At 49.9% G+C, this 25,836-nt stretch overlaps 2 protein-coding genes and 1 pseudogene across 12 annotated transcripts, besides 5 other annotated features; 1 reads left to right on the forward strand and 2 right to left on the reverse strand.

Moving 5' to 3' along the window:
• On the reverse strand, positions 2,415–3,098 carry LOC100420020 (phosphatidylinositol-4,5-bisphosphate 4-phosphatase 1 pseudogene; annotated as a pseudogene).
• Positions 8,095–8,164: an enhancer, noted in NCBI's record as "active region_5024". NCBI's record gives its function as "activates an Ori minimal core promoter by ATAC-STARR-seq in GM12878 lymphoblastoid cells {active_cell/tissue: GM12878}" and the evidence as "EXISTENCE:reporter gene assay evidence [ECO:0000049][PMID:35858748]".
• EIF1AD (eukaryotic translation initiation factor 1A domain containing) lies at positions 15,278–20,890 on the reverse strand. 8 transcript variants are annotated; one of them, NM_001242486.2, is made up of 6 exons: positions 20,773–20,890; positions 19,036–19,139; positions 18,786–18,894; positions 18,300–18,408; positions 18,083–18,130; positions 15,278–17,476 (listed from the first exon to the last, which is right to left on the reverse strand). In NM_001242486.2, the coding sequence occupies exons 2-6, from the start codon at positions 19,120–19,122 to the stop codon at positions 17,332–17,334; spliced, it is 498 nt and encodes a 165-aa protein (NP_001229415.1). In that variant the 5' UTR covers positions 19,123–19,139; positions 20,773–20,890; the 3' UTR covers positions 15,278–17,331. The 8 variants fall into 8 exon arrangements, with proteins under 8 accessions (NP_001229415.1, NP_001229414.1, NP_001229413.1 ...); NM_001242485.2 differs by having other exon boundaries at positions 19,036–19,214; NM_001242484.2 differs by having other exon boundaries at positions 19,036–19,238.
• Positions 18,987–19,486: an enhancer, noted in NCBI's record as "H3K4me1 hESC enhancer chr11:65767725-65768224 (GRCh37/hg19 assembly coordinates)". NCBI's record gives its function as "activates a minimal SCP1, AML or CMV promoter by ChIP-STARR-seq in primed H9 embryonic stem cells {active_cell/tissue: H9 hESC(primed)}" and the evidence as "EXISTENCE:reporter gene assay evidence [ECO:0000049][PMID:30033119]".
• Positions 20,588–20,957: an enhancer, noted in NCBI's record as "active region_5025". NCBI's record gives its function as "activates an Ori minimal core promoter by ATAC-STARR-seq in GM12878 lymphoblastoid cells {active_cell/tissue: GM12878}" and the evidence as "EXISTENCE:reporter gene assay evidence [ECO:0000049][PMID:35858748]".
• On the forward strand, positions 21,236–22,882 carry BANF1 (barrier to autointegration nuclear assembly factor 1). Of its 4 annotated transcripts, none has more exons than NM_001440619.1 (3): positions 21,236–21,803; positions 21,968–22,106; positions 22,359–22,882. In NM_001440619.1, exons 2-3 carry the CDS (start codon positions 21,984–21,986, stop codon positions 22,503–22,505), a joined length of 270 nt encoding a protein of 89 aa, NP_001427548.1. In that variant the 5' UTR covers positions 21,236–21,803; positions 21,968–21,983; the 3' UTR covers positions 22,506–22,882. The 4 variants fall into 4 exon arrangements, with proteins under 4 accessions (NP_001427548.1, NP_001427547.1, NP_003851.1 ...); NM_001440618.1 differs by having other exon boundaries at positions 21,236–21,568; NM_003860.4 differs by having other exon boundaries at positions 21,236–21,303.
• Positions 21,258–21,597: a silencer, noted in NCBI's record as "silent region_3569". NCBI's record gives its function as "represses an Ori minimal core promoter by ATAC-STARR-seq in GM12878 lymphoblastoid cells {active_cell/tissue: GM12878}" and the evidence as "EXISTENCE:reporter gene assay evidence [ECO:0000049][PMID:35858748]".
• Positions 21,965–22,771: an enhancer, noted in NCBI's record as "H3K27ac-H3K4me1 hESC enhancer chr11:65770703-65771509 (GRCh37/hg19 assembly coordinates)". NCBI's record gives its function as "activates a minimal SCP1, AML or CMV promoter by ChIP-STARR-seq in naive and primed H9 embryonic stem cells {active_cell/tissue: H9 hESC(naive and primed)}" and the evidence as "EXISTENCE:reporter gene assay evidence [ECO:0000049][PMID:30033119]".

Genomic DNA, 25,836 nt, shown 5'->3' on the forward strand with positions numbered 1-25,836 from the left:
AAAGACCAGCTTCAGCTCTGCAGCCGACTAACTTTCTGGCTCTAGTAACTGGGCAGACTACGTGGTGAACCAGGGGCCTCCTCGTTCGCGCCATCTTGCTTCCTCTCTGCATCTCTGGCTCTTGGTCCTAGCCCAGAGACTTCCCTTCTCTGCCCTGGTGTACTCTGCTCTGCTCCCCAGCTGTGTCCTGCCCATGTGCCCAGGGCTGGGAGGGGTTGGGGACTACCAAATCCCTGGAGGCCTGAGCCCCCAGAGCAGACAGAACCCAAGGCGGCTTCCCACCTCTGCTGCTCGGTAGCCGGACACCAACGGTGCTTCCCCTGCCCTCAGGTACCTGAGGGGCAGCGATGGCTCAAAAGCTGCCCTGAGGGTCAGTGAGCCCTCAACCAGGGCCTCAGCCAGGTGGGTGGCACTCAGGGAGGACAGGGTGCTTATGTTTGCCCTCTATGTTTCCCTTCACTGCTGCCTGACCTGAGGCAGGTCACCAAGTCTCTGTCTTACCTACAAAATGTGCGTGTTGAGGGTGGGGGGCGTGATCTCAAGACTTCTAGGGCCACCCTACTGCATAGTTGAGGACTGATCCTTCCACAGCTTCAACAAAAATGTACCGAGCATCTGCGAGCGCTGCCTAAGAACCCAGAGCAAAGCCGGACAGGCTGCCTGGGCCCATGGGGCATGGGCCCTAAGAGCAAGCAGCCACTGCGCAAGGGCACAGCCAGGTGTGAAGGATGGGACGAGGCCCAGCTCCTGCCCTCCCAGGGCCCATCTCTCCTCGTGATGGGCCTTCCGGGTGTGGTGATGCCAACCCCAGCCCACAGCCCAGCAGTCCAGTGCTGTGTGGCCTTGGCTCTGAGCAAGACCAGGATGGGGTCCCCCTCTTGCTCTCGGGGCCTGCCCTCTCCTGTGCGCACCCCCTGCCCAGGTCCTCCAGGCTCCTCCAAGCCTCTGCCTGTGGCCCCAAACCTGCCCCACCCAGCCCCAGGCAGGGCCCTGCCTCTTCCTCCACAATTCAGAGATGCTCTGGAGGGTGCAGGCAGGCCCTGCCAGCATGGGCTCCCTGTGGACCTGGGAAAAGGTGCCCTTCTGGGCAGTGGACGCAGGCCTCAGGAGCACAGCCTGGTGGGCAGATTCGCCCCCATTCATCCTACAGAGTGGTCCCTGGCGCCCCTCAGTGCCAAACCCACGATTGCCCCGGGGCTTTAGTTCCCTGCCCTGCCTTCCCCAGCTGGTCCTGTCATTGTCCCTTGGCATCCTCAAGAAGGGCTCAGCCCAGGTGTACATTGGGCAGTGGACTGAAGGGGACAACCAGGGTGAGGACCTGGCTTTGCTGGTGTCGGGTCTCTGCGTTTCAGTGCCATGGGTGGGAAGGGCGGGCTGGTCCCAGGAAAGTGGGGATTCAGCAGTAAGTTCCCAGGAGGAGCAGGATTAATTGGCTGGAGTTCCCAGAGAGACCCACCAGCAGCCACGTGGACAGTGGAGAGCAGGGTGGGGCTGAGGACCCTGGCAATGCAGAGGTTGCTAAAAAGATTTTTCGAAACCGTGATACTGTTTAGAACCCATAGGAGAAAAATGATAGCTACTAAGATTAAAAAAAAAAAAAAAAAGCTACAGAACCCATAGGAAAAGTTGCAAGCGATACAAAGTGTTTCCCCTTGAACCATTTGACAATCGGTGGTCAAGGGGATTCCGTACCGCCCCAACTAAGTGTGTGTTTCCTGCAAACAAGGGCGTTCTCCCACATAAACTAACGCCACCTAGGACATTGGGAAAAGTACCGTTGATGCGTCACTTCCACCTCATTTTAGACCCCAACTGTCCTAATGTCTATTTTTTTTTCTTTGAGTCGTAGCCTTATTTATTTACAAGCACTGGATGAGTCCCTGGCCACCCCCCAGGACAGAGCAACCCTACGCAGCCCCAGCGCAGTTAAATACAGTTGGGAGCTAGGGGACTGGAGGGAGGAATTAAGGGAAATACAGGACTAGGGACAAATACTCTGTTAAGTGGTCACATACGGGCCAGATCCTGTAGTCTGCAGAGCCACGGCTGTCACCACCCCCACACCAGGACATGAAAGGTAGGGAGAAGAGCCTGAGGGAGCCGAGGCAGGCCCAGGGGTGCCCACCCGTCGTGCCATAGAACGTGGAAGGGACAGGAATGGCTCTCAGGGAGTGTATGGGAAGGACGAGGCCAGAACTGTCTTCTTACGGGACCCAGTTTTAGGAAGAACACCTGGTTTGCTTTTCTGTAAACACAGCGGCCTTGAGGGAGCGGCTGCCCAGCAGAGGCTCTGCCTACCCCAGACCCGAGCACAGCCTAGCTCCTTCCCACCTCTACCCAGAAAGGATGGCAGCTGCTGGCTCCCAGCTCCCTTGAAGGGACCAGGCACAGTCTGTGAGTCCTCATGGGGCTCAGGAGAAGCTCTGGACAGGGTGGCTGACCTTCAGGCAGGCCCGAAAGAGGGCCTGGCCCAAACACAGCACAGCCAGCAAGATGACAGACACCAGGCTGCATGGAGGCCTCCATGTCGCCCCGCATGCTTCCCTGAGCCAAAGCAGGTAGCAGATATGTCACTTCCACGGATATCTGCACCCATAGATGACACTTTCCAACAGTGAGGGTGACATGTGAACTCTGTCCATGGAAGAGTATTCCTGCAGTGCCCACGGATGGCCCTGACACCCACCTGAGGTTCTGGACCCCACAGTGATGATTCCTTTGCAGTAGGGCCGAGGGCAGGTAACCCGCTGGGAAGTCACTTTGCAGATGAGACAGCTATGAGGACTTCAGACATCTTTCTCCCTCGGGTGCATTCTGGATTGGAGCAGCTTTGTTGCAGGTACTGCATTGACTACAAGCTGATGAGTTCTGCCTTCCACCTTGATGAGCAGTGGGCACTCTCACTCCCCAGGCTGGTCAGGGTGAGTAGGGGGCTGGGTGTACCTCATAGAAGGGGGTATGCCTGGGGTGGGGCAGGTTTACTGGCTTCACTCAATGGTACAAAGGGGGTCAGCATCTCTGGGCCCAGCCCCACTCCCATCCCACCCTACTAAATCATTGCCAAGGGAAGCCTCTCCATCTGCGGCCACCACTAGCAGGTCACCAGCCTAGTAATATCCTTTTTACTTTTTTTAAGACAAGGTCTCACTGTGTCGCCCAGGCTGGAGTACAGTGGTACAAACATGGCTAGCTGCAGCCTTGACCTCCTGGCTCAAGTGATCCACCCACGTCAGCTTCCTGAGTAGCTGGGACCACAGCTGCATGCTATCATGTCTGGCTAATTTTTTTGCAAAGACAGGGTCTTGCTATGTTGCCCAGGCTGGTCTCAAAATTCCTGGGCTCAAGCAATTCTCCTGCCTCAGCTTCCCGAAGTGCTGGGATTGCAGTACTAGCCACACCCAGCCGATAGTAGGTTTTAGCAAAAGGATTCAGTTCAGGCAACTGCACCCATTGCAGTTCTGGCCATGAGCCACCACACCCAACCAGAATTATTTCAAAAGATTTTAAGATAGAATATTTTGACCTCACATCCCTAGTAGGATATCTATTTAAAAATTTTTAAATTAACATAATGAAATCTTAAACACATTTAATAGTCTTATTGTTAGTAATAATAATGATGATATTGGCTGGGCATGGTGACTCGTGCATGTAATCACAGCACTTTGGGAGGCCGAGGCAGGAGGATTGCTTGAGGCTAGGAGCTGGAGACCAGCCTGGGCAACATTGCGAGATCCCCATCTCTACAAAAAATTTAAAAATCAGCCAGGCATGGTGGCATGCACCTGCAGTCCCAGCTACTCAGGAGGTTGAGGCAGGAGGAGTTGGAGACTGCAGTGTTCTAGGATCATGCATTGCACTCCAGGCTGGACGACAGAGCAAGACCCTGTCTCAGAAAAAAACCAAAAAATACAAAGAAAAGAAAACTGAAGCTGTGTAACAGGTACAATGGGATTCATTATTCCATTCTATCTACTTTTGAGTATGTTTGAAAATTTCCATTATAGAACTTTGTTTAAAAAGAGAGAACAAGAACATGTTGGCTTAGCAACAGAAAAGCATACATATGTTCAGCTAAAGACATGAACAAGAATGTTCTTAACAGCACTATTTATAACAGCCCCAAACTGGAAACAACCCAAATGTCCATTAACAGAAGAATGAATAAATAGCCGGGCATGGTTCTTAGTGCCTGTAATCCCAGCTACTGGGGAGGCTAAGGATCCCTTGAGGCCAGGAGTTCAAGACCAGCCTGGTGACATAGTGAGACCCACCTCTAAAAATATTTTTTAAATTTAGCTGGGTGTGGTGGCTCATGCCTGTATCTGTAGTCCCAGCTACCCGGGAGGCTGAGGCAAAGGATTGCTTGAGCCTGGGAATTTGAGGCTGCAGTGAGCTATCCTCACACTTGTGAATGGCCACTGCACCCCAGCCTGGGTGACAGAGTGAGACTCTGTCTCTAAAAAAAAAATCAACAAAGGGTAGACATTCATATAACCGAATGAGTAACATGGATGAACCTCATGGACATGAAATTATACATACTGTTTGCTTCCATTTAATACAAAATCTGGAAAAATTCTTTTATTCTATTAGAAGCAGTATAGAAGGCTGGGTGCGGTCACTCATGCCTGTAATTCCAACACTTTTGGAGGCCAAGGTGGGAGGATTGCTTGAAGCCAGGAGTTCTAGAGCAGTCTGGGTAACAAAGCAAGACCCTGTCTCTACAAAAAAATTTTAAAAATTACCTGGGCATGGTGGTGTGTGCCAATAGTCCCAGCTACTCAGGAGGCTGAGGCACAAGAATCACTTTAACCTGGGAGGTGGAGGTTGCAGTGAGCCGAGATGGTGCCATTGCACTCCAGCCTGGGTGACTGAGTGAGGCTCTGTCAAAAAAAAAAGCATCGTTTTAAATAATGACATAAATATAAAAAATGGCCAGCATGGCTGGGCGCAATGTCTCACGCCTGTAATCCCAGCACTTTGGGAGGCTGAGGCGGGCGGATCCCGAGGTCAGGACATCGAGACCATCCTGGCTAACACAGTGAAAACCCATCCCTACTAAAACTACAAAAAATTAGCCGGGTGTGGTGGCGGGTGCCTGTAGTCCCAGCTACTCGGGAGGCTGAGGCAGGAGAATGCCGTGAACCCGGGAGGTGGAGCTTGCAGTGAGCCGAGATCGCGCCACTGCACTCCAGCCTGGGCGACAGAGCGAGACTCCGTCTCCAAAAGAAAAAAAAAAAAAAAAAAAAGGCCAGCATGAGAATGAGTGAAAGTTCATAAACTCTTCCTATGGTGACTCACATATGGCATAAGGAACTAGCTCACTGGTTTTGCCTTCTCCTTCCTCTCTTCTGTAAGGTTCTTCATTTCCCAGGCCTGTAACTTGCTGTCTTCCCACTACGGTGCCTTCTAATAAAGAGCTTCCAAAACTAAAAACAACGTAAATCTTTGCTGCGGTTATTTTTTGACGCATCAAAAAAGGCACCAAGCCTAGATGTTTTTAAAGCTTCAAAAGTTTATTGACCGGCACCATGGCTCACACCTTTAATCCCAGCACTTTTGGAGGCCAAGGTGGGCGGATCACCTGAGGTCAGGAGTTCAAGACCAGCCTGGCCAACATGGCGAAACCCTGTCTCTACTAAAAATACAAAAATTAGCCGGGAATGGTGGCAGGTACCTGTAATCCTAGTTACTCAGGAGGCTGAGGCAGGAGAATTGCTTGGGGCCTGGGAGGCGGAGGCTACAGTGAACTGAGATGGTGCCATTGTATTCCAGCCTGGGTGACAGAGTGAGACTCCGTCAAAAAAAAAAAAAAAAGGTTATTATCTAAAGGCTTTACCTTTAGATAATAGATCATTCAAATGCTATTTAAACTACTCCAGATCAGAGAAAAAGATGGTAAGCGCTCTTAACATATTTTATGATATTAATAAAATACTGATAGCCAAATCTTCTCATTGTTTCTGAAGTTTGTTTTCTAGAAGTTCCTTCTGTCTGCTGGTGATAAACTCCTATATTCTGTTGGTCTGAATGTCTTCACCATGGTGTAGGGAGGAGACAGCCGTCGTGGCCCCCAGGGCTGTGGTGAGAATCAAAGCTGTCCTGCCTTGGGCATGTCTCCAAAGCCCAAACACACTGGGAAGACGGAGTTGGCCCCACTCAGGGTCTCCACTCAGATCAGGCTGGGTCCCACTTCCCTCTCCCTGAGCCCCGGACACATCGATGCTGTCATTGCATGCTGATTCTCCGAGTCCCTGAGCCCCGTACCCCCCGGCCTTAAGGAGCCTTGCCAGTGTCCTCCCCACCTCGCCCCTGCCCAACAGACACAGCACGCCACCTGCTCTGCCTTGGGTCCCAGGCCTTTCCCTCCTCAGGCACCTGTTCAGGGGCAGTGAGAGAAGCAAAACAGCCCTTCTGTGCCAATGCACACCCCACCTGGGGAAGGAGGCAGACAGGAGGGCTCCTCAGAAACGGCTGATTTGTCAGCCCTGGACAAAGTGAAAGGGAGAAGCAAGAAGCAGGACAGATGGGCAGGTCTCCTGCGGCCCACCCCCCCAAAAAAGGAATGTGTGGGCCGGGCGCAGTGTCTCACGCCTGTAATCCCAGCACTTTGGGAGGCTGAGGCGGGTGGATCACCTGAGGTCAGGAGTTCAAGACCAGCCTGACCAACATGGAGAAACCCCGTCTCTACTAAAAATACAAAAAATTAGGCAGGCGTGGTGGCAGGTGCCTGTAATCCCGGCTACTCAGGAGGCTGGGGCAGGAGAATCTCTTGAACCCAGGAGCCAGAGGTTCCAGTGAGCCGAGATCACGAAGCAAGGAAGGAAGGGAGGGCGCGAGGAAGGAAAGATGTGGCCATAGATCGTGAGTAGGATCGATAAGACAGAACTCCATTGTCGAAAGCTAAATTATGGCAGACACAAAGCGGATGGGAGACCCACATGAAAGAAGGCACTTGGAGCCTTCAGAGAAGAACGCAGGGAGGCAAAACCCCCAAAGGCCTGAAAGCTTCAGCAGTCACTAGAAGGGGAGCTGAATACATGTGCTGAGGGGCCCTGGGGAGACGACCCTTCCAGAGGCTGCAGTTCTTAGGTCTTACCAGCCCCTCCTTGCTGCCCATCTACCAGGTCCAAGGCTCCCTGAATCCTCAGACATTAACTACAGGGGTACCTCATCCTTGTCCAGAGCAGGGTTTCTGGGGGACACAGCCACAGACACCTCCATGTGAGTCCTCCTGCACCTCAATTTGGGTGCTTTCTAACTGAAAGACCAGGGCGGCCAGGCGCGGTGGTTCACGCCTGTAATCCCAAAACTTTGGGAGGCCAAGGCGGGCAGATCGCCTGAGGTCGGGAGTTCAAGACCAGCCTGACCAACATGGAGAAACCCCATCTCTACTAAAAATACAAAATTAGCCAGGCGTGGTGGTGCGTGCCTGTAATCCCAGCTACTTGGGAGGCTGAGGCAGGAGAATCGCTTGAATCCAGTAGGCGGAGGTTGCGGTGAGCCAAGATCGCGCCAGTGCACTCCAGCCTGGGCAAGAAAAGTGAAACTGGGTCCCCCAAAAAACAAAAAAACCAGGGCAGTTCCCCACCACCCTCCAAGCACTGTACTCCAGCTTGTAAATGCTGCTGGGGAGGAAGGCCACTTCTGATCATGCCTTGGTGAGTGAATCCATCTCTGGGGGAGTGGAACTTGTGTTCGCAGTGGTCTACCAGCATCCTAACTGCTGTTGGGGCATGTGGACCCTTTGATTGGACCAAGAATGCAGTTCCCTTATGAGACTGTAACTAGGTTAGATGCTTTCGGGTTCTGTAGCCCAAGGCAAGGTGCTGACTTGCTGGTTTTACGTGCTTAGGGTGACCTCTGCTGGTGGCTTCTCTAAATGTTGGCAGAATACACAGCCAGGAACTGCCGGTACCGTCTCACATCAGCCAGTAGTTGGAGCCACATTGCTATCAGAAGGAAAAGAGTGCTCTTCTCATACAAGAATTATTAAAACAAAGTGATGCCCAATGCTGTTCAAGAATGAACAGCCTGGTCTGGTTAGTAACAAAGGATTCTGGTACTTGGCAACTCATTGTGGATTAGCAAGGGTTAAATAACAAAGTGGGTATTTTAGCGTCATGAGAATCTATCACAATAACTGGAAGAATTGCTGCCAGTACTGGCACCTGGTGTACAGCCCTGGGCACTGCTAGTTCTTTTTTTTTTTTTTTTTGGTTGGAGTCTTGCTCTTGCCCAGGCCGGAGTACAGTGGCGCCATCTCGGCTCACTGCAACCTCTGCCTCCCCTCCTGGGTTCAAGCGATTCTCCTATCTCAGCCTCCCAAGTAGCTGGGATGACAGGCGTGCACCACCACACCCAGCTAATTTTTGTATTTTTTTAGTAGAGACAGGGTTTCACCAGTTGGCCGGGCTGGTCTCGAACTCCTGATCTCAGGTGATCCACCTGCCTTGGCCTCCCAAAGTGCTGGGATTACAAGCGTGAGCTACCGCGCCCAGCCTGTACTGCTAATTCTTCATTCCTCAGTGTCACCAGATGAGGCATACGGCATGCCTCCACACCTCCCACAGGGGCTTTTGGATTCTCTTGCAAATGTCACCAGTGGATCAAACACACGCACAGCATGAACTGCTGGTGGTGTCCGTGGTGTCCTGACTTCTTGCTTCATCAGTGATTTTCTGAGGGCGGCTCCCACTGAGGAAACTGCCCACACTTCTCTGTGTGCTTCTCAGACACAGGTCAGTAGAGATGTTTGGGCCTTGAATGAAGACAAAACCCACGGTTCTGTGGCCCAAGTCACTTTCCTGGGAGACAACTGGGCAACTACTAAAGACGAAGCACCAGGCCGGGCACGGTGGCTCACCACCTGTCATCCCAGCACTGTGGGAGGCCAAGGCGGGTGGATCACCTGAGGGCAGGAGTTCGAGACCAGCCTGGCCAACATGGTGAAATCCCATCTCTACTAAAAATACAAAAAAAATTAGCTGGGTGTGGTGGTGCAGGCCTGTAATCCCAGCTACTCGGGAGGCTGAGGCAGGAGAATTGCTTGAACCCTGGATGCGGAGGTTGCAGTGGGCTGAGATCGTACAATTGCACTCCAGCCTGGGCGACAAGAGCGAGACTCCATCTCAAAAAGTAAGTAAGTAAGTAAATAAATAAATAAATAAAAATAAATAAAAATAAAGCAAACCATGTAAAAAGAAAAAAAGTGCACATGGAATTCGGACAATGGTTGCCTTGGGTGGGACAGCAGAGAATGGGCTGGTCAGGGTAGGATGGGAGGTGGAGTATGTTACTTGGGTTATTGTTAAAGTCCTAGCCTTTATTTTATGGTGGTGGGTTTGAAGCTGCTCACATTATTAAAAATAACCAACCAAATATTTAATTATTCTTGACTTTTAATTTTTTATTGAAAGGGAGTCTCACTATGTCACCCAGGCTGGCCTCAAACTCCTCAAGGGCTTAAGCAATCCTTTCCCTTCAGCCTTTCAAGTAGCTGGGATTACAGGCATGTGCCACCATGCCCAGCCAAAATGTTTAAATATAGGCCAGACTCAGTGGCTTACGCCTGTAATCCCAGCATTTTGGGAGGCCGAGGCGGGTGGATCACCTGAGGTCAGGAGTTCGAGACCAGCCTGGTCAACATGCTGAAACCCCGTCTCTACTAAAATATAAAAATTAGCCAGGCGTGGTGGTGGGCGCCTGTAATCCCAGCTACTCAGGAGGCTGAGGCAGAAGAATGGCTTGAACCTGTGAGGCACAGGTTGCAGTGAGCTGAGATTGCACCACTGCACTCCAGCCTGGGTGACAGAGCAAGACTCCATCTCAGAAACAAAACAAAACAAAACAAAACAAAGAAAGGAAAAAGAAAAAGAACTACAGGATAAACCCAGAGGGATTGGTTTGTTTCCCATTGGTTATGAGAAAAAAACAAAAACAAACAAAAACAAAGGGAGTATAAGTGGGAAATACGGTAAGAGCAGCAATTAATGAAATACCAATACAAAGAATGACAACAAAAAGCTGGTGCTTAGAAAAGACTAATAATGACCTTCTGCCAAGATTGACCAGCTATAACAGAGAGAAGGCACAAATAAACAATATTACATGTAAAAAGGGGGACATAACTTTGGATACAGCCAAGATTACAAACATAAGGCAATCATACAAATAACTTTGCGCCAGTAAGTTTGAAGCCATAGCAAACATGAGAAAATATGGGGGCTGGGTGTGGTGGCTCACGCCTGTAACCCCAGCAATTTGGGAGGCTGCGGTGGGCAGATCACCTGAGATCGGGAGTTTGAGACCAGCCTGGCCAACATGGTGAAACCCCATCTCTACTAAAAATACAAAAATTAGCCGGCCATGGTGGCACATACCTGTAATCCCAGCTATTCGGGAGGCTGAGGCAGGAGAATCACTTGAACCCGGGAGGCGGAGGTTGCAGTGAGCCGAGATGGGGCCACTGCACTCCAGCCTGGGCGACAGAGCAAGATCCTGTCTCAAAAATAAATAAATAAATAAATAACATGAAAATATTTTTCCTTGAAAATATGACTGAAGAACAGAACACCTGAGTAATCTATTACCACTGACAATCTAATTCCAAACCTACCTACCCACCCACCCAAAAAATCGCCAGGCATGGTTGGTTTTACAGCAAGCTTTACCAAAAATTGTAGAAATGCAAAATTCCAATCTTATACAAACTCTCGTAATGAAAATAAAGGGAAAACACTTTCCAACTTATTTATATGAAGCTGGTATAACCTTGATACAAAACAAAGGGTGGGGGCAGTACGGAAAAGGAAAACCTTAAACCATTTCACCTATACACCTGGATGCCAAAATACCAGAGAACCAAATCCGGCAGTATAATAACAAATCCATTGTGACTGTCTTCTTCCAGGAATGCAAGGATATCTTAACGTGAGAGAATGTTATGATACTCCACCACATTTACAGATTAGAAGAGGAAAACCATGTGGTGAGCTCAGACTGCCATCTGTGCTCCCTGGCACACACACAGGGGTGGCTGGGTGGCAAGGGGGGAAAGCGCACTGGGCCACACGGGGAAGCCCTGGTGGAAATGACCTGGCTGTAGAGGTTAGTCCTGAAGTGACAGAGGTACAGATTCTGAAGGGCCACAAAGTCTCAAGCATAACTGCAAGAGAAGCCAGTAAGTACTATTAGGCAGCCAGTCACAGGGACTGGCCATGACATCGGGACAAGGGGCTCTTACATCAGATCTCAGCTCACTCAGGGAGATCTATTCATACATGGTTGGATCCCACCATTCAGTTGGAAGAACAGAGGTGGAATCCAGCTTCAGAGAATGACATAGGAAAGTAGCATGCAGAATACAAGGACCCTACCTCCATCAGTACCCTTAGCTACAGCCCACAGAAGCTGAATGGCTGGTAAGAGATGAAGAAGTGGAAACGAAAAGGTTTTAGGGGGAAAAAAAGATGTTACTAGGTGGATCACAGTATCACTGAGAGAATGGAGAAGAACATAAGACCAAGTTTACAGATAAAACGCCAAAACACACACACACAAAGTGGGGAACAGTCAAAGGACTATTTAGAAGAAAACATATAGCCCTGAATATATTAGAAAACAAATTGAAATTAAATTAGCTAAGCACACATCTCAAGAACCCAGAATGAGCAAATAAACCCAAAGAAACGAAGGAAAAGTCCAGTAAGGAAGACCTCTTGCAAAGCTAGCCAAATAAAATACACAAAATATAAACATATTTTGTTGATTTCACCTGCCCTCACCCCTTGCCCCACTTTTTCTGGTAATAGAACCTCTCTATTCCATGGGAAACATATAAAAATTACTTGTGGCTCATCCTGCCCCACCCCAGTCCTCCACACCCTCCCACCCCCCGGCCCTGGCCACAGTGACTGCTCAAGCACAGCAAGTGACCTGAGGAAGATCAATCGCCCTTCACGGAAATACAGGGATCCTCAAGAGCCCCAAGGGGCTCTGTCTACAAGGACTGTGTATAAACTTGAGCGTCCTGGCTGGGCGCAGTGGCTCATGCCTGTAATCCCAGCACTCTGGGAGGCCGACGCAGGCGGATCACGAGGTCAGGAGATCGAGACCATCCTGGCTAACACGGTGAAACCCTGTCTCTACTAAAAATACAAAAAATTAGCCGGGCGTGGTGGCGGGCGCCTGTAGTCCCAGCTACTCAGGAGGCTGAGGCAAGAGAATGGCGTGAACCCCGGGGGGCGGAGCCTGCAGTGAGCCGAGATCGCGCCATTGCACTCCAGCCTGGGCAACAGCGAGACTCCGTCTCAAAAAAAAAAAAAAAAAAAAAACTTGAGCTTTCTACAGAAAACATCTGTAGGAGGGAAAGAAATTAATCAGCCGGGAGCAGAGATGACAGAGATAAATGAGAGAGCCTGAGGAATTCATGCTGCTGGCATTGGTTCATCCCTGCCCGATGCGCACCACTCAGAGACCTCAGGTCAATGAGCCTTGCTTACTTCTCCTAATTTGAGTTCAATTTTGTCATTTATAAGAAAGTCCCGCATACGCCAGGATGGTGGCTCTCACCTGTAATCCCAGTACTTTGAGAGGCCAGGGCAGGAGCATCACTTGAGCCTGGGAGTTCGAGACTAGCCTGGGCAACATAGGGAGAGCCTGTCTCTACTAAAAATAAAAAAAATTAGCCAGGTGTGGTGGCGCGCACATGTGGTTCCAGCTACTCAGGAGGCTGAGGTGGGAGAATCACTTGGGCCTGGGAGGTCAAGGCTGCAGTGGCGCCATGATGGCCTGGGCAACAGAGTGAGAGGCTGTCTCAAAAAAAAAAAAAAAATTACTGGGTGCAGTGGCTCACCCTTGTAATCCCAGCACTTTGTGAGGCTGAGGGGGGCCAATCACCTGAGGTCAGGACTTTGAGACCAGCCTGGTCAACATGGCAAAACCCCATCTCTACTAAAAATACAAAAATTAGCTGGGTGTGGTGGCGGGTGCCTGTAATTCCAGCTACTTGGGAGGCTGAGGCAGGAGAATCACTTGAACCCGGGAGGTGGAGGTTACAGTGAGCCGATACTGCACCACTGCACTCAAGCCTGGGCGACACAGTGAAACTCTGCCTCAAAAACAAAACAAAAACAAACAAACAAAAAAAGAAAGTTCCAAATAATACAAATATTATGCATGAACTTTTGCCCAAAAAGCTTAAATATATATGAAATATGATCCTGGAATGATACAAATGATCAAAATTGACTCAAGGATAGAAAACTTTAGACAGAACACAACTGAATAAACTAAAAGGCAGTGAAAGATCCACCCCTGAAAAAGGTACCCAGCACAGATGTTTTTGTAAACAAGTTCACAACGTTGAAGAAACAAATGCCTGGCCTATAAAGTATTCAAGCCTGAAGAAAAAGACGTCTCCAAACCCATTTGCAAGGCTAGCATAAAGCTAATCTCGAAATAGAACAGGAAGGTCATTTTTTAAAAAGAGGGAGGGGATTGGCCCAGGGAGAGAGATAAAACTCCTAAGTAAATACATAATATACTGTAAAACTAAGCAAGGTTTATATCAGAAAGTAAGGTGTGTCCAACATTAGGAAACCTATTACTGTAACTCAGTACAATCATACAATAAAATCTTTTGATTTTCTCCATAGATGTCAACATTCATCACTGTTAAACAAAAGCGAAGGAGAAAAAAAAAACAGTAAGATGGAACAAAGAAAACATCTTCAGTCTAATGAAGATCATCTACCGGAAGCCCAGAGCAAGCGTCCTACCTCAGGACGCAACGTGAGAACCATTCCCACTGAGAAAACATCAATCAAGGGTGCCATGCAACCACGGTGGAGGTCCTGGCCTCTGAGATTCACAAGAAATAGACATGAGTGTAAAGGAGGAGATAAAACTGTCATTAGTGGGATACGATTTGGCTATCTATAAAGCCACAAGATCAACTGAAGAACTGCGCATTCGACAAGGTGGGCAACACAAAGATGGACACACAGGTGGATGCCAGGGATGGGGAAAGGTGATTTCCACAGATCCTTCACTACCAGTAACTAGGACTTTCATAAAACTCCTAAGACTAAACCAAATTGGAAGTAAAGGCCCATTTGAAGACCACACCACCTTACCAAAGAACATACCTCATTTCTGGACAGGAAGATGAAAAACTGTTAATTTTTCTACAATATTTATTTAAACAAAACTAAAAATAAACTGTTAAGATACCACTTCTTGGGTGGACATAGTGGCTCACGCCTGGAATCCCAGCCCTCTGGGAGGCTGAGGCGGGAGGATGGCTTGCCCAGGAGTTTGAGACCAGCCTGGGCAACATAATAAGACTGGCTCTACAAAAAAAAAAAAAAAAAAAAATAGAAAAAGAAAAATTAGCCCGATGTGGTGGTGCACACCTGTGGTCCCAGCTACGCAGTAGGCTGAGGTAGAAGGATCGCTTGAGCCCAGGAGGTGGAGGCTGCAATGAGCCATGATTGCATCACTGTGTTCCAGCCTGGGTGACAGGAGTGAAACCCTGTCTCAAAAAAATAAAAGTTGAAACTCCGTCTCTACTAAAAATACAAAAATTAGCCGGGTGTAGTGGCAAGTGTCTGTAGTCCCAGCTATGGAGAGGCTGAGGCAGGAGAATCGCTTGAACCTGGGAGGCGGAGGTTACAGCGAGCTGAGATCACGCCACTGCACTCCAGCCTGGGTGACAAAGCAAGACTGTCTCAAAAAAAAAAAAAATGCAGTATGGGCACACGGATCAATAGGACAGATTAGAAATTCCAAAAAAGATCCATATATATGCAGGAATTTATGTTTTAAAAGATATTTCTGGCCAGGCGTGGTGGCTCATGCCTGTAATCCCAGCACTTTGGGAGACCAAGGCAGGCAGATCACGAGGTCAGGAGACTGAGACCATCCTGGCTAACAACGGTGAAACCCCATCTCTACTAAAAATACAAAAAATTAGCCGGGCGTGGTGGTGGGTGCCTGTAGTCCCAGCTACTCAGGAGGCTGAGGCAGGAGAATGGCGTGAACCCGGGAGGCAGAGCTTGCAGTGAGCCGAGATGGCGCCACTGCACTCCAGCCTGGGCAACAGAGCGAGACTCCGTCTCAAAAAAAAAAAAAAAGAAATATTTCCAGTGAGCAAAGAATGAACCTTTCAAGAAATAGTACAGGGACAAGTGACTTTCCCTTTAGGGAAAGTTTGCTACCTCTCAGAAAAAACAAACTTCAGATGAATTAAAGATAGATACACACACATACATATCTTTAACCCATCTCGTTTATTTTTTGTATATACATCTACATACATTTTATACATTATATTCATATATACATATATACAAATGTATATATGTTTAAAGCCACGCTATAAGAGAAAGTAAATGAGAAACAGACAAATGAAGTGGTAGCTGGAGGACGTGGGAATCAGTACAGGTTTTCACGCCTGTTTCAGAAATGGGAGATTCTACAGCACGCTCGACACTAACACATCACATCCATAACATATCACATCCAATAGACAGGACAGCCAAAAACACAAAACAAAAAAAGAATCAAATACCCACACCCAGACACAATACTCAACAACACAAATACCCGACCAAAGTCTTTAAGAAAGCAAAAGAGGCCGGGCACAGTGGCTCACACCTGTAATCCCAGCACTCTAGGAGGCCAAGGTGGGTGGACCACTTGAGGTCAGGAGTTCGAGACCAGCCTGGCCAACATGGCAAAACCTCGTCTCTACTGAAAATATAAAAATTAGCCAGGCATGGTGGCACACGCCTGTAATCCCAGCAGTTTGGGAGGCTGAGGCAGGAGGCTCATTTAAGGTCAGGAGTTCGAGACCAGCCCGGGCAACATGGCAAAACCCCGTCTCTACTAAAAATACAAAAAGTTAGCCAGGTGTGGTGGTGCACGCCTGTAGTCCAAGCTACTCGGGAGGCTGAGGCAGGAGAGTTACTTGAACCCAGTAGGTGAAGGTTACAGTGAGCCGAGATCACACCACTGCACTCCAGCCTGAGCAACACAGGGAGACACTCTCTCAAAAAAAAAAAAAAAAAAAAAAAGATAGTCTCCAAAACACAAGAGGTAAGGTTTAAGTCCCATTGGCTTACGACAGGAAGATATGTGCACATCTGCAGAGCTGGTAACAGGGAGGCAGGCATTCCCTCTGATGGTTGCTGTTTCTTAATGAGGCATGTGTTGTGGTAACTACCACAAGGGGGAATTGATAGATAAGACAGAAGTTTTGAAACAGACATCCCAGAGTAGATCTGCTGGGCAGTGCTTAGTGTCCATCTGAGGTTTGTAATGATAAACGTAAGGTACAACTGGTGGCCAGGCTGGCTGTTTTCTCACCTAATGATGGTGACTTGGGTTTGGGCACAGAGGTGAATGATTGGGTTTACCCAGGGTTAGGGTTTTACTAGCGGAACAGAATGGAGGGAGACAGAGGGGTGTAGGGTGGACTACGGAATTGATGCTACACAAGAGGGAAGTGAAGGCAGAAGGTTACTCATGAGAATGTCAGGGCTGGTTAGAAGAATGAAGGGTGAGGGTGGAAAAGCAGCCTCTATTTAAAAGGTTATAAGACAATCAATGTCCTCAGGGAATAATCAGGTTTCAAATAAAGTCAGGAGATGGATGGACCATTCAAAACAAAGTTAAGGATAGAGAGATTTGCCAGCCACCTTCTGGAAGTGATAGATGGTGCAGAGTGGGAGAGATGAGGTCGTATGTGGGGATGGACACAGTAGCTGGAGGTGAGCACTCCCGTACACAGGGTGACTAGAAAGGCGGGGAGAACAGCACGAGGCACCATGGGCTCCTGAGCGTCTCTTAGAGGCAGGTGGGTGTTAGGTCCTAGGGCTGTCATCCTGAATGCTTAAATTGGTATGAACTGCAAGCAGGCAAGGAAGCAGGAGTGCTCCCAGCTGTTAAACACATGCAAGAAGGCCCAGAGCACGGCCTGGCACTTTCTAAGTGCCCAATAAGAAAGAACAAACCACCTGGGAAAGACTCCAGCCATTTCCCATTTCCTCCCCATTCAGCCCACCCACCCACAAGGTCTCTAATAAATAGGGAGCAGTTTTTCACTTCATCACAATCTCCCTCCCCCGAGAGAGCCACTCAGACACCAGAACAAGTCACCAACCCACCAGGGGTTTAATTCTCTGAATCAAAAGATCAGTTCAGAGAGGAGCCCTGCTTTGTCCTCATGCAGGGGTGAAGATGTGCAGAGCACCCTGGGAATGTCCAAGCCCAGAAGAGCCAGGGGCCAGTCCCTGAGCAAGTGGAGAATTGGGTCCTGGAGTCTCAGGCTGCCTCCTCCTCTTCACTCTCCTCCTCACTCTCATGATACTGTCTGCGGTTTGTGTTAACAAACAGGTCAGAATCATCTTCTGAGCTGGACTCCTCTCCTGATAACTGTGGCTCAGCTGGGAGTTCTGGTTGAGTTTGTCTGCACGAAGGGAAGAGAGCAGGGTTAGCCCAGCGCCTTCTGGGAAAATAATATCTACAATCAAGGAGTTCCAAAAAAAGGACCATCCGGCCCAGCAGTCAGGGCCCTACAGCACCCTTTAAAGACTCAAACAAGGGACACAGGAGAGCAAACAGTGGGGAAACGTGGCCAAAGAAACAGGCTAAAGACTGACCCCACTCCCCAAACGTGTGCCACAGCCATTTGTTTTAGTTAGAAATAATGATTCTACGACCACCAACTAACACTTAATGGACCCATATCACATAACAGATACTGCACTAAGCAATTTTACAAGCCATCCACTTCTTTAATCCTCACAAAGCTCCCATTTTACATATAAGAAAATAGAGTTTGAAGGAATTAAATAACGTGCTTAAAGTCATTCAGCTTTAAGTGGCAAAGCCAAGATTTTAACCCAGAGCATCTGACCTTCAAACCCCATTCATAACCATGTTATACCACATGCTTAGGAGCTCTCAACAGATACCCTATGTAAGGAGGAAAGAAGGCTCTATTTTTCCCTCAAGGCACCAAAGCATGAACCCCTTATTTTCCATGTACCCCACCCCAAGGCTTGTTCCTCACCTGTTCCTGTTGTTGTGTTTCTCAGCCACTTCAGAGAAGGCCTCAGGCCTATGCCAAGAGATGAGCCAAAGTCAGAAAGGACAAATAAATTTCTCACAAAAGAGCTGCTTCCAGCTGTGTCTGCCTGGGATGCCATGACCTTCCCTCCCCTAATTCCCAAGCTAGGAAGGCAATGCCTCCAGAAGCCAGACAGCCAATGATCAAGGGGACCACCTACCAAAACCCCTCCTTCTGCAGAGAGCGCACGTGGTCCTTGCAGAGCACAAACGAGATTTCAGCCTTCACCTTTTCTCCCTCTTCAATGGGGTCAACAATGAGAAAGTCCCCTGTAGATAAGAAGAGAAAAGGCAAAGTCAGGCCTGCTTGCAATAAGGAAAGCCAAAGCCATAGGAAGGGGTTCTATCTCCTAGAGAGGGCTGCCTCTCTCACCTCTCTCTTTTTTCTTTTTTTTGAGACAGGGTCTTGCTCTGTTGCCCAGGCTGGCAAGCAATAGCATGATCATAGCTGACTGCAGCCTCCACCTCCCAGGCTCAAGTGATTCTCAGGCCTCAGCCTCCTGAGTAGCTGGGATCACAGGCACGTGCCCAACTAATTTTTTTCTTTTTGTAGAGACAAGGTCTCATTATGCTGCCCAGGCTGGTCTCAAGCGATCCTCCCATCTCAGCCTCTCAAAGTGCCAGGATTACAGGAGTAATCCTCTCACCTCTCTTGATCCAGATGTTCTTGCGGTATTTGGAGGGCATGCTCACCAGGAAGCGCTGCCCTTGGGCTGTCTCCACCTCATGCAGATTGTTCCCTGGGGTCCTGAGTACCTGGTTCAGGAGAGACCAAGAATCAGTCTCATCAGTCAGATCAAACACCCTCTCAGACACGCTGCACCCTACCCCCACCCCAGGGGCCCTCCAGGGCTGCAGGGGTGGGGAGCAGAACAGCTTGTGCCCCACGCCACTCACCCTGACAATCTGCTGCTGGTCGGAGGGCACTATGTGCTCCCCTAGCACCTCCTTCACCACATGCTTCCTCTTGGTGGCCTGAGACATGCTGAAGTCGTCCCACACTGGTTAGGAACGAAGAGACTGTCAACTCCTCCTCCTGAGTTCCTTGGATGGCAGGCTCAGAACCCAGGACTGTTCTGAAGATGGGGAGGGGCCTTTTACTGAGGGGTGACACGGTGTCTTGGTTAAGAACATGGGTTCTGAAGTCTAACTGCCTGGATTCAAATCCTACCTTGGTTTATTTCCTAACTATTCAACTTCTCTAGGTCCCAGAAAAATAACAGCTAACTCAGCACTGTTACAGTATGGTATGAGGCCACCACTTCTCCTGTTGGCCTTCTTAGTTTCTCTCCAACCTCCCCTTTTCCCTAGTTTATAAGACAGGAGAAAAGGGAGAAAGCAAAAAGTTGGAAAGAAACAGAAGTAAGATAAATAGCTAGACGACCTTGGCACCACCACCTGGCCCTGGTGGCTAAAATAATAATAATATTATTAACCCCTGACCAAAACTACTGGTGTTATCTGTAAATTCTAGACATTGTATGAGAAAGCACTGTAAAACTTTTTGTTCTGTTAGCTGATGTATGTAGCCCCCAGTCACGTTTCTCACGCTTACTTGATCTATTATGACTTTTTCACGTAGACCCCTTAGAGTTGTAAGCCCTTAAAAGGGCTAGGAATTTCTTTTTCGGGGAGCTCGGCTCTTAAGACACGAGTCTGCCGACGCTCCCGGCCGAATAAAAAAACCTCTTCCTTCTTTAATCTGGTGTCTGAGGAGTTCTGTCTGCGACTCGTCCTGCTACAACAGAATGGGACAATACAATGCATGTCATGTAAAAGTAACTCCGGCCGGGCGCGGTGGCTCACGCCTGTAATCCCAGCACTTTGGGAGGCCGAGGTGGGCGGATCACGATGTCAGGAGATCGAGACCATCCTGGCTAATACGGTGAAACCCTCTCTCTACAAAAATACAAAAAATTAGCCGGGCGTGATGACGAGCGCCTGTAGTCCCAGCTACCCGGGAGGCTGAGGCAGGAGAATGGCGTGAACCCGGGAGGCGGAGCTTGCAGTGAGCCGAGATCGCGCCACTGCACTCCAGCCTGGGCGACAGAGCAAGACTCCGTCTCAAAAAAAAAAAAAAAAAAAAAGTAACTCCTATAATCTTAAGTACTAGTGTAATATAAAACTATACGCATGCTCCAGAGAAGTCATCCTGGCAACCTCTCTGGAAGGAGTTTGAAATAAACCGTATCTTTCTCAACACGCTTGTACACCCCAAGTCTAGCATAGTCACACAACAGAGAAGTTCAGTCTGGCAACACACTACAGCCGGAGACAAACTAGGTGGCCACCGTGATGGTTCAAGCCAGGAACTAGTTAATTAAAGGTTGAGGTGAGCAGGCTTGTCTGCGACATTTGCATATTTCTGACTTGCGTACTTAGAAGACGAAGGCCAGTACCCTTAAGACTGATGGTTTCCGAAAGAAACACTGTCGTCTCTAGTTGCTGTCCTCCTTCCTCCTCCCTGTCTATCCCGGAGAAAAGACCCTCAGAGAAACACCCACACTTAGTCTCTGGCCCTCGGCTCCCAGGAACGCTGCCGGAGCAACACCGCCGTCTAGGCTGGACGCTGAGAGAGGATCGTCCACGACTCACTTCAAGGCTGAACCAAGAAAACACAGTAAAGGAACTTGCCGGCGGCCGCGACGGTAGCGTCAGTTAGAAATCAGGTCTCCAGTGTTCCCAGTTCCCACCAGTCCAACTGCGAGGAGTGCGACGTGAGTCTGAGTCTGATCCCTCCGAAAACCGTACTTCCGGCGCTGTCTCGGAGGCCTCCCGTCCCCTCCCTTGTCCGTCTTCTAACTCTTCCCCACGCCAGGTCCGTCAAGCCTAAGTCCTTGAGTTCCGGGTCCGGGCAGCAGAGAAAGGAAGTCCTCTCCCTGGAGGCCTATCTCCCTCAGAACTGCGCGAGAAGCGAGACCTTAGAAGGCAGGGCTTCCCGCGAAGGACCGGAAAGGAGCGCCTACTAAGGACGCCGTCGAGGTCCGGGGCGCCTCAACTCTATAGCTCTAACTGGCTAGAAGTGCCCAACGTGGAATGTTTCTTTTTTAAAGGCGGCTCTTGAAGCGACCCGGAAGCGGAAGTGGAAGAAAGTTCTAGTGGCTTGAGGTATCCGCAGGAGCGGCCGGGTGGCGGGAGGAACCGTTACGGGAACTGAAGTTGCGGGTGAGCGCCAGCCGCGGAGCAGGGCCCTGATTGGAGGCCAGAGGGGTTGCGGGGAGAAGGGGAGGAGAGGGGTCGCAGGCGCTGTGGCGGGCCCTGGGGGAGAGCTTGGCCGCGCTGCGGGGAGGGGGCGGGGTGCAGCGCGTGGGAGCCGGGCCGCGGGAAGGGGCGGGCCGCAGCGGCGCGCGGTGGGGGCGGAGCTGGGGCGCGGCGTGAACCCCGCGGGCGGGGAGCGGGTGTGCGCAGCGCTAGGTGTGCGCTTCGCCCTGTAGGTAGAGAGACCCTTTGGTTAGCTTTCCACGCCAAGTGGCCGTTCCAGGCAGGCAGTGTCGTCTTGGTTCAGCCAAGGTCACAGAGGGAGTGATAGCTTCCGCGCAGCCCTGGCTACGGACTCTGGGCATCTTTCCACTGCCCCGCTTGCGCCACCTGTTAGGCAGGATCGTTTTTCCTCTGGGGCAAGATCAAAATCCAGGTCCTGCAGGAAGAAACTCCTCTTAAAAATAGTAGGGAAGAGTCTCCCTGGAACTGTTTTCTCCTTTCAGGATGAGGGGGATCGAGCAAGCCACTGTAACCCCTGGCTTGGCTTCCTCTTACTATGAGATTGCTCGTGGGCCCTTAGAAGTTCCAGGTCTTCAGCCCTAATCTGCCTTTTTTTTGGGATTCCTAGATTAAGCCTGATCAAGATGACAACCTCCCAAAAGCACCGAGACTTCGTGGCAGAGCCCATGGGGGAGAAGCCAGTGGGGAGCCTGGCTGGGATTGGTGAAGTCCTGGGCAAGAAGCTGGAGGAAAGGGGTTTTGACAAGGTGTGGGGTGGCTGCGTGTACCTAGTGCAAGCGGGGGGTGGAAGGGAAGTGATTCCATCTGCTGGGGGATGGACAGTAAGGTATAATCTGAAGAGGCTGCCAGAGCCTGGGCACCTGGTGGAGAGGAGAGGGGGGCAAAACCCGCGCTGCTTCCTGGGCTTGTGTGCTCTGAATGGCACAGGAATGGCTGTCTTGCTCTTATCTCTCACTGAGCACTGAGCAGCACGCTCCTTCCTTTTCCCTGTTTTGCAGGCCTATGTTGTCCTTGGCCAGTTTCTGGTGCTAAAGAAAGATGAAGACCTCTTCCGGGAATGGCTGAAAGACACTTGTGGCGCCAACGCCAAGCAGTCCCGGGACTGCTTCGGATGCCTTCGAGAGTGGTGCGACGCCTTCTTGTGATGCTCTCTGGGAAGCTCTCAATCCCCAGCCCTCATCCAGAGTTTGCAGCCGAGTAGGGACTCCTCCCCTGTCCTCTACGAAGGAAAAGATTGCTATTGTCGTACTCACCTCCGACGTACTCCGGGGTCTTTTGGGAGTTTTCTCCCCTAACCATTTCAACTTTTTTTTGGATTCTCGCTCTTGCATGCCTCCCCCGTCCTTTTTCCCTTGCCAGTTCCCTGGTGACAGTTACCAGCTTTCCTGAATGGATTCCCGGCCCCATCCCTCACCCCCACCCTCACTTTCAATCCGTTTGATACCATTTGGCTCCTTTTTTGGCAGAACAGTCACTGTCCTTGTAAAGTTTTTTAGATCAATAAAGTCAGTGGCTTTCATGACTGGGCTTTGTGCACTGAAAAGCAAGTGGGCTGGGAGTTGCCTCTCCTTCAGGGACTGACCATGTTTCCCTCACTCCTTATCAGTAGAGACCGAAACTGGCAGCTTCCCTTCCACTCCCAGAGGGCAGCCACCCTAGCCATGTAGGCCTCAGGCAGGTGACTTTTGTCTCAATCCCCGAGTGATGTGGGAGAGGGTGTGGGTGGATCTTTTCCTGGGAGCCAGATGGACTGTGCTCCAGATGTCAGTTAAGTCAACAGCTGGGCTAGGCAGCACCTGGTGGAAAAGTCAGTGGGAGTCAGAGGTACCAGACAGGGTGGGCCGGATGTGGGTGAGAGTTCACCTGCCAGTCATCATCTGCTCTCCCGGCCTCTGTAAGGGTGGGCAGGGTGCTTGCCATCTTCCATGATCTCTTAGGGAGGAGAAGGAGCACAGGCATCACAGCTGGAAGGATGTGAGGGGAGTACACCTCAGTACATTTTAGTCCTGTTCTTTTTGTTTACTTTTTAACTTAATAGGGACAGGGCCCTGCTCTGTTGCCCATGCTGGCCTTAAGCGATCCTTAAGCCTCCCAAAGCGCTGTGACTATAGGTGTGAGCCACCATACCCGGCCAGCCCTATTATTTCTTGAACACTTAGTATGAACCAGGCTTGAAGCTAAAATCTTTGCAAACATTTTTTTCTTTCACAGTAATAAATATTTTCTCCTTTACAGGTGAGGAAATTTGAGGCTCAGAGAGGCTAATTTGCCCATGGACTTGCTCCTGGGAAGTAGCCAGACTGGAACTCAAACTAGCTTGGAAACCCAGGGACCCGGCCATGTGTTCCTTGGTCATGTGGCTTAGCCTCTCTGAGCCTCAGTTTCTCCACTTGGAAAATGAGGTGGTTGTAGGGAAAGGATATTTGCAGCAGTATAAACAACAAAGGACTATTTCCATAGCACATACAGAATTGCAATCAAGAAAAAAGCGGACTGGCTGGGCGCAATGGCTCACGTTTGTAATCCCAGCACTTTCAGAGGCCGAGGTGGGTGGATCACCTGAGGTCAGGAGTTCAAGACCAGCCTGGCCAACATGGTGAGACCCCATCTCTACCAAAAATACAAAAATTAGCCGGGTGTGGTGGTGCACGCCTATAATCCCAGCTACTCAGGAGACTAAGGCAGGAGAATCGAACTTGGGAGGCAGAGGTTGCAGTGAGCCGAGATCACGGCCATTGCACTCCAGCCAGGGTGACCAGAATGAAACTTTGTCTCAAAAAAAAAAAAAAACAACAGAAAAATGGGTAAAAGATCTAAGACGGCCACAGAAGAGGGTTCCCTCCCAGTAAATAAGCACAGGAAAGGTGCTCCATATTGCTAGTAATAAGACATCACATGCCATTAACACCCACCTGACTGGCAAACACTTTTAAGTTGGACAATACCAAGTATTGATGAGATAATGAAGCAACAGGAACTGATACCTAGCTGGTGGGAGTATAAATTGGTCTAAACAATTTGGGAAGACAGTTGGGTGTTATTTAGTAAAACTGACACGCCCTGTGACCAAGCAGTTCCACTCTCAGGACTGTGCCTTGAAGAAAGTCCCGAACACCTGCAGCAGGACCTAGATGAGTTTGCAGCTGCATTGTTGGGAGCAACGCTAGCGGCTGTCAATACTAGAGTAGATAAATAGGCACTCATGCCACCGGACACTGGACGGAGGTAAAAATGAACAAATGATAGTTGTGTACAACACGAATCTCAATAGCAAATGAAGACAAACAAATTCTTAGGAATTCCTACATAGATGGTAAAACTAGAAGGAAAACAAAGGAAATGATTATGGTAAATAGTAAAGGAAAAAGTCTACAGGGATTATCTTTGGGGGAGGGTGTGGAAGGGCTTAAGGGTAGGCTTGGCCTACCCTGACCTGTGTTTCTGACCTATGGGGTGGTGGTACAGGCATTGACCAAAAGTGTATGTTCTGCGCCCTTTTCAGTGTATTCGCTACATCTCAACAATAGAAAGATAACAGGAAAACCAAAAATAAAGACCTGAGGCTGGAACGATTGAGTGAAAGGTCAGAAACTAAATTGTTATTTGTAGGGATGAGAGTTCTGTGCAAGGCTGGGACTGGAAAGTGCGAGTGGCCCAGCTTGAAAGGGACACCAGGTGACTGCAGCAGGGCCCAGCTTGTGCTTCAAGCCGCTTCCTGGGAGGCTGCTGGTCTGAGTCCCGGCTGAGGTGGTCACGAGGGCTCTCTCTTGAGTTTCAGACTGTTTCTGATGTCTTCCCGGCTAAGTCCCCTCAGCCTTGACCCTCATGCTATGATGCTGTCGCAGGCCTTGTGTGCTTAGGTGGGGGCTTTGCAGGGCTCCGGCCTCACCACACCTCAGTCCTGATGCTGCCAGCTTGTTGCTGGTGCTCTGTGAGGTCATGGAGACTCCTCCTCCATGAAGCCCTTCCCTGGGCTCCTGCCCACGCTGGCCTCCTGGTTTGGCCTCGCCTGGTGGCACTGGGACCCTGCTGGAAGCCTGCGGCTCATGCTGTCTGCTTTATTTCCTTGTTGTCTGCCTTTCCCGGCTCACCCACAGGCTTTGCCATAGAAGGGACTGGAACCTGCCTTCTCACCTCTCCCTTGGGGCACAGGCAGTGCATATACCAGGTGGCAGGCCACAAACCCTTTATCAGGACTCCATATTGCATCCCACACAAGTTCTTGGCTCTGTCCTGGGACAGCAGTAGACAAAGGGCATCTAGAATGTACCTTGTGACAGTGTGGCCTCTCAGATCCAGCCCGACTCAGCCAGCAGGACAAAGGGACCACGGCTTGGAATGCTGGCGCAGAAAGCAGACCTGGCTGGTGAGGGGTATGAGTCAGGTTGTCTCAGTGTCAGCCCGTGGTGTCCAAGAGGACATGCCTGGCCACCCACTAGCCTGGGACATAGGTGGGCCCAGAAATCAGCAAATACT

Source organism: Homo sapiens, chromosome 11 (assembly GCF_000001405.40).
Source record: "Homo sapiens chromosome 11, GRCh38.p14 Primary Assembly".
Taxonomy (NCBI): domain Eukaryota; kingdom Metazoa; phylum Chordata; class Mammalia; order Primates; family Hominidae; genus Homo; species Homo sapiens.

Bases quoted from the DNA above. Each gene is read 5' to 3' on its own strand.
- EIF1AD (NM_001242486.2), bottom strand. From the start codon at position 19,122: ATGTCTCAGGCCACCAAGAGGAAGCATGTGGTGAAGGAGGTGCTAGGG. The intron at 18,131-18,299 runs GTAGGTGGTCCC...CTCTTGGCATAG, and splicing joins CTGCAGAAGGAGGGGTTTTG to GCCTGAGGCCTTCTCTGAAG. The intron at 17,477-18,082 runs GTGAGGAACAAG...CCCTTCGTGCAG, and splicing joins AAACACAACAACAGGAACAG to ACAAACTCAACCAGAACTCC.
- BANF1 (NM_001440619.1), top strand. From the start codon at position 21,984: ATGACAACCTCCCAAAAGCACCGAGACTTCGTGGCAGAGCCCATGGGG. The intron at 22,107-22,358 runs GTGTGGGGTGGC...CCTGTTTTGCAG, and splicing joins AGGAAAGGGGTTTTGACAAG to GCCTATGTTGTCCTTGGCCA.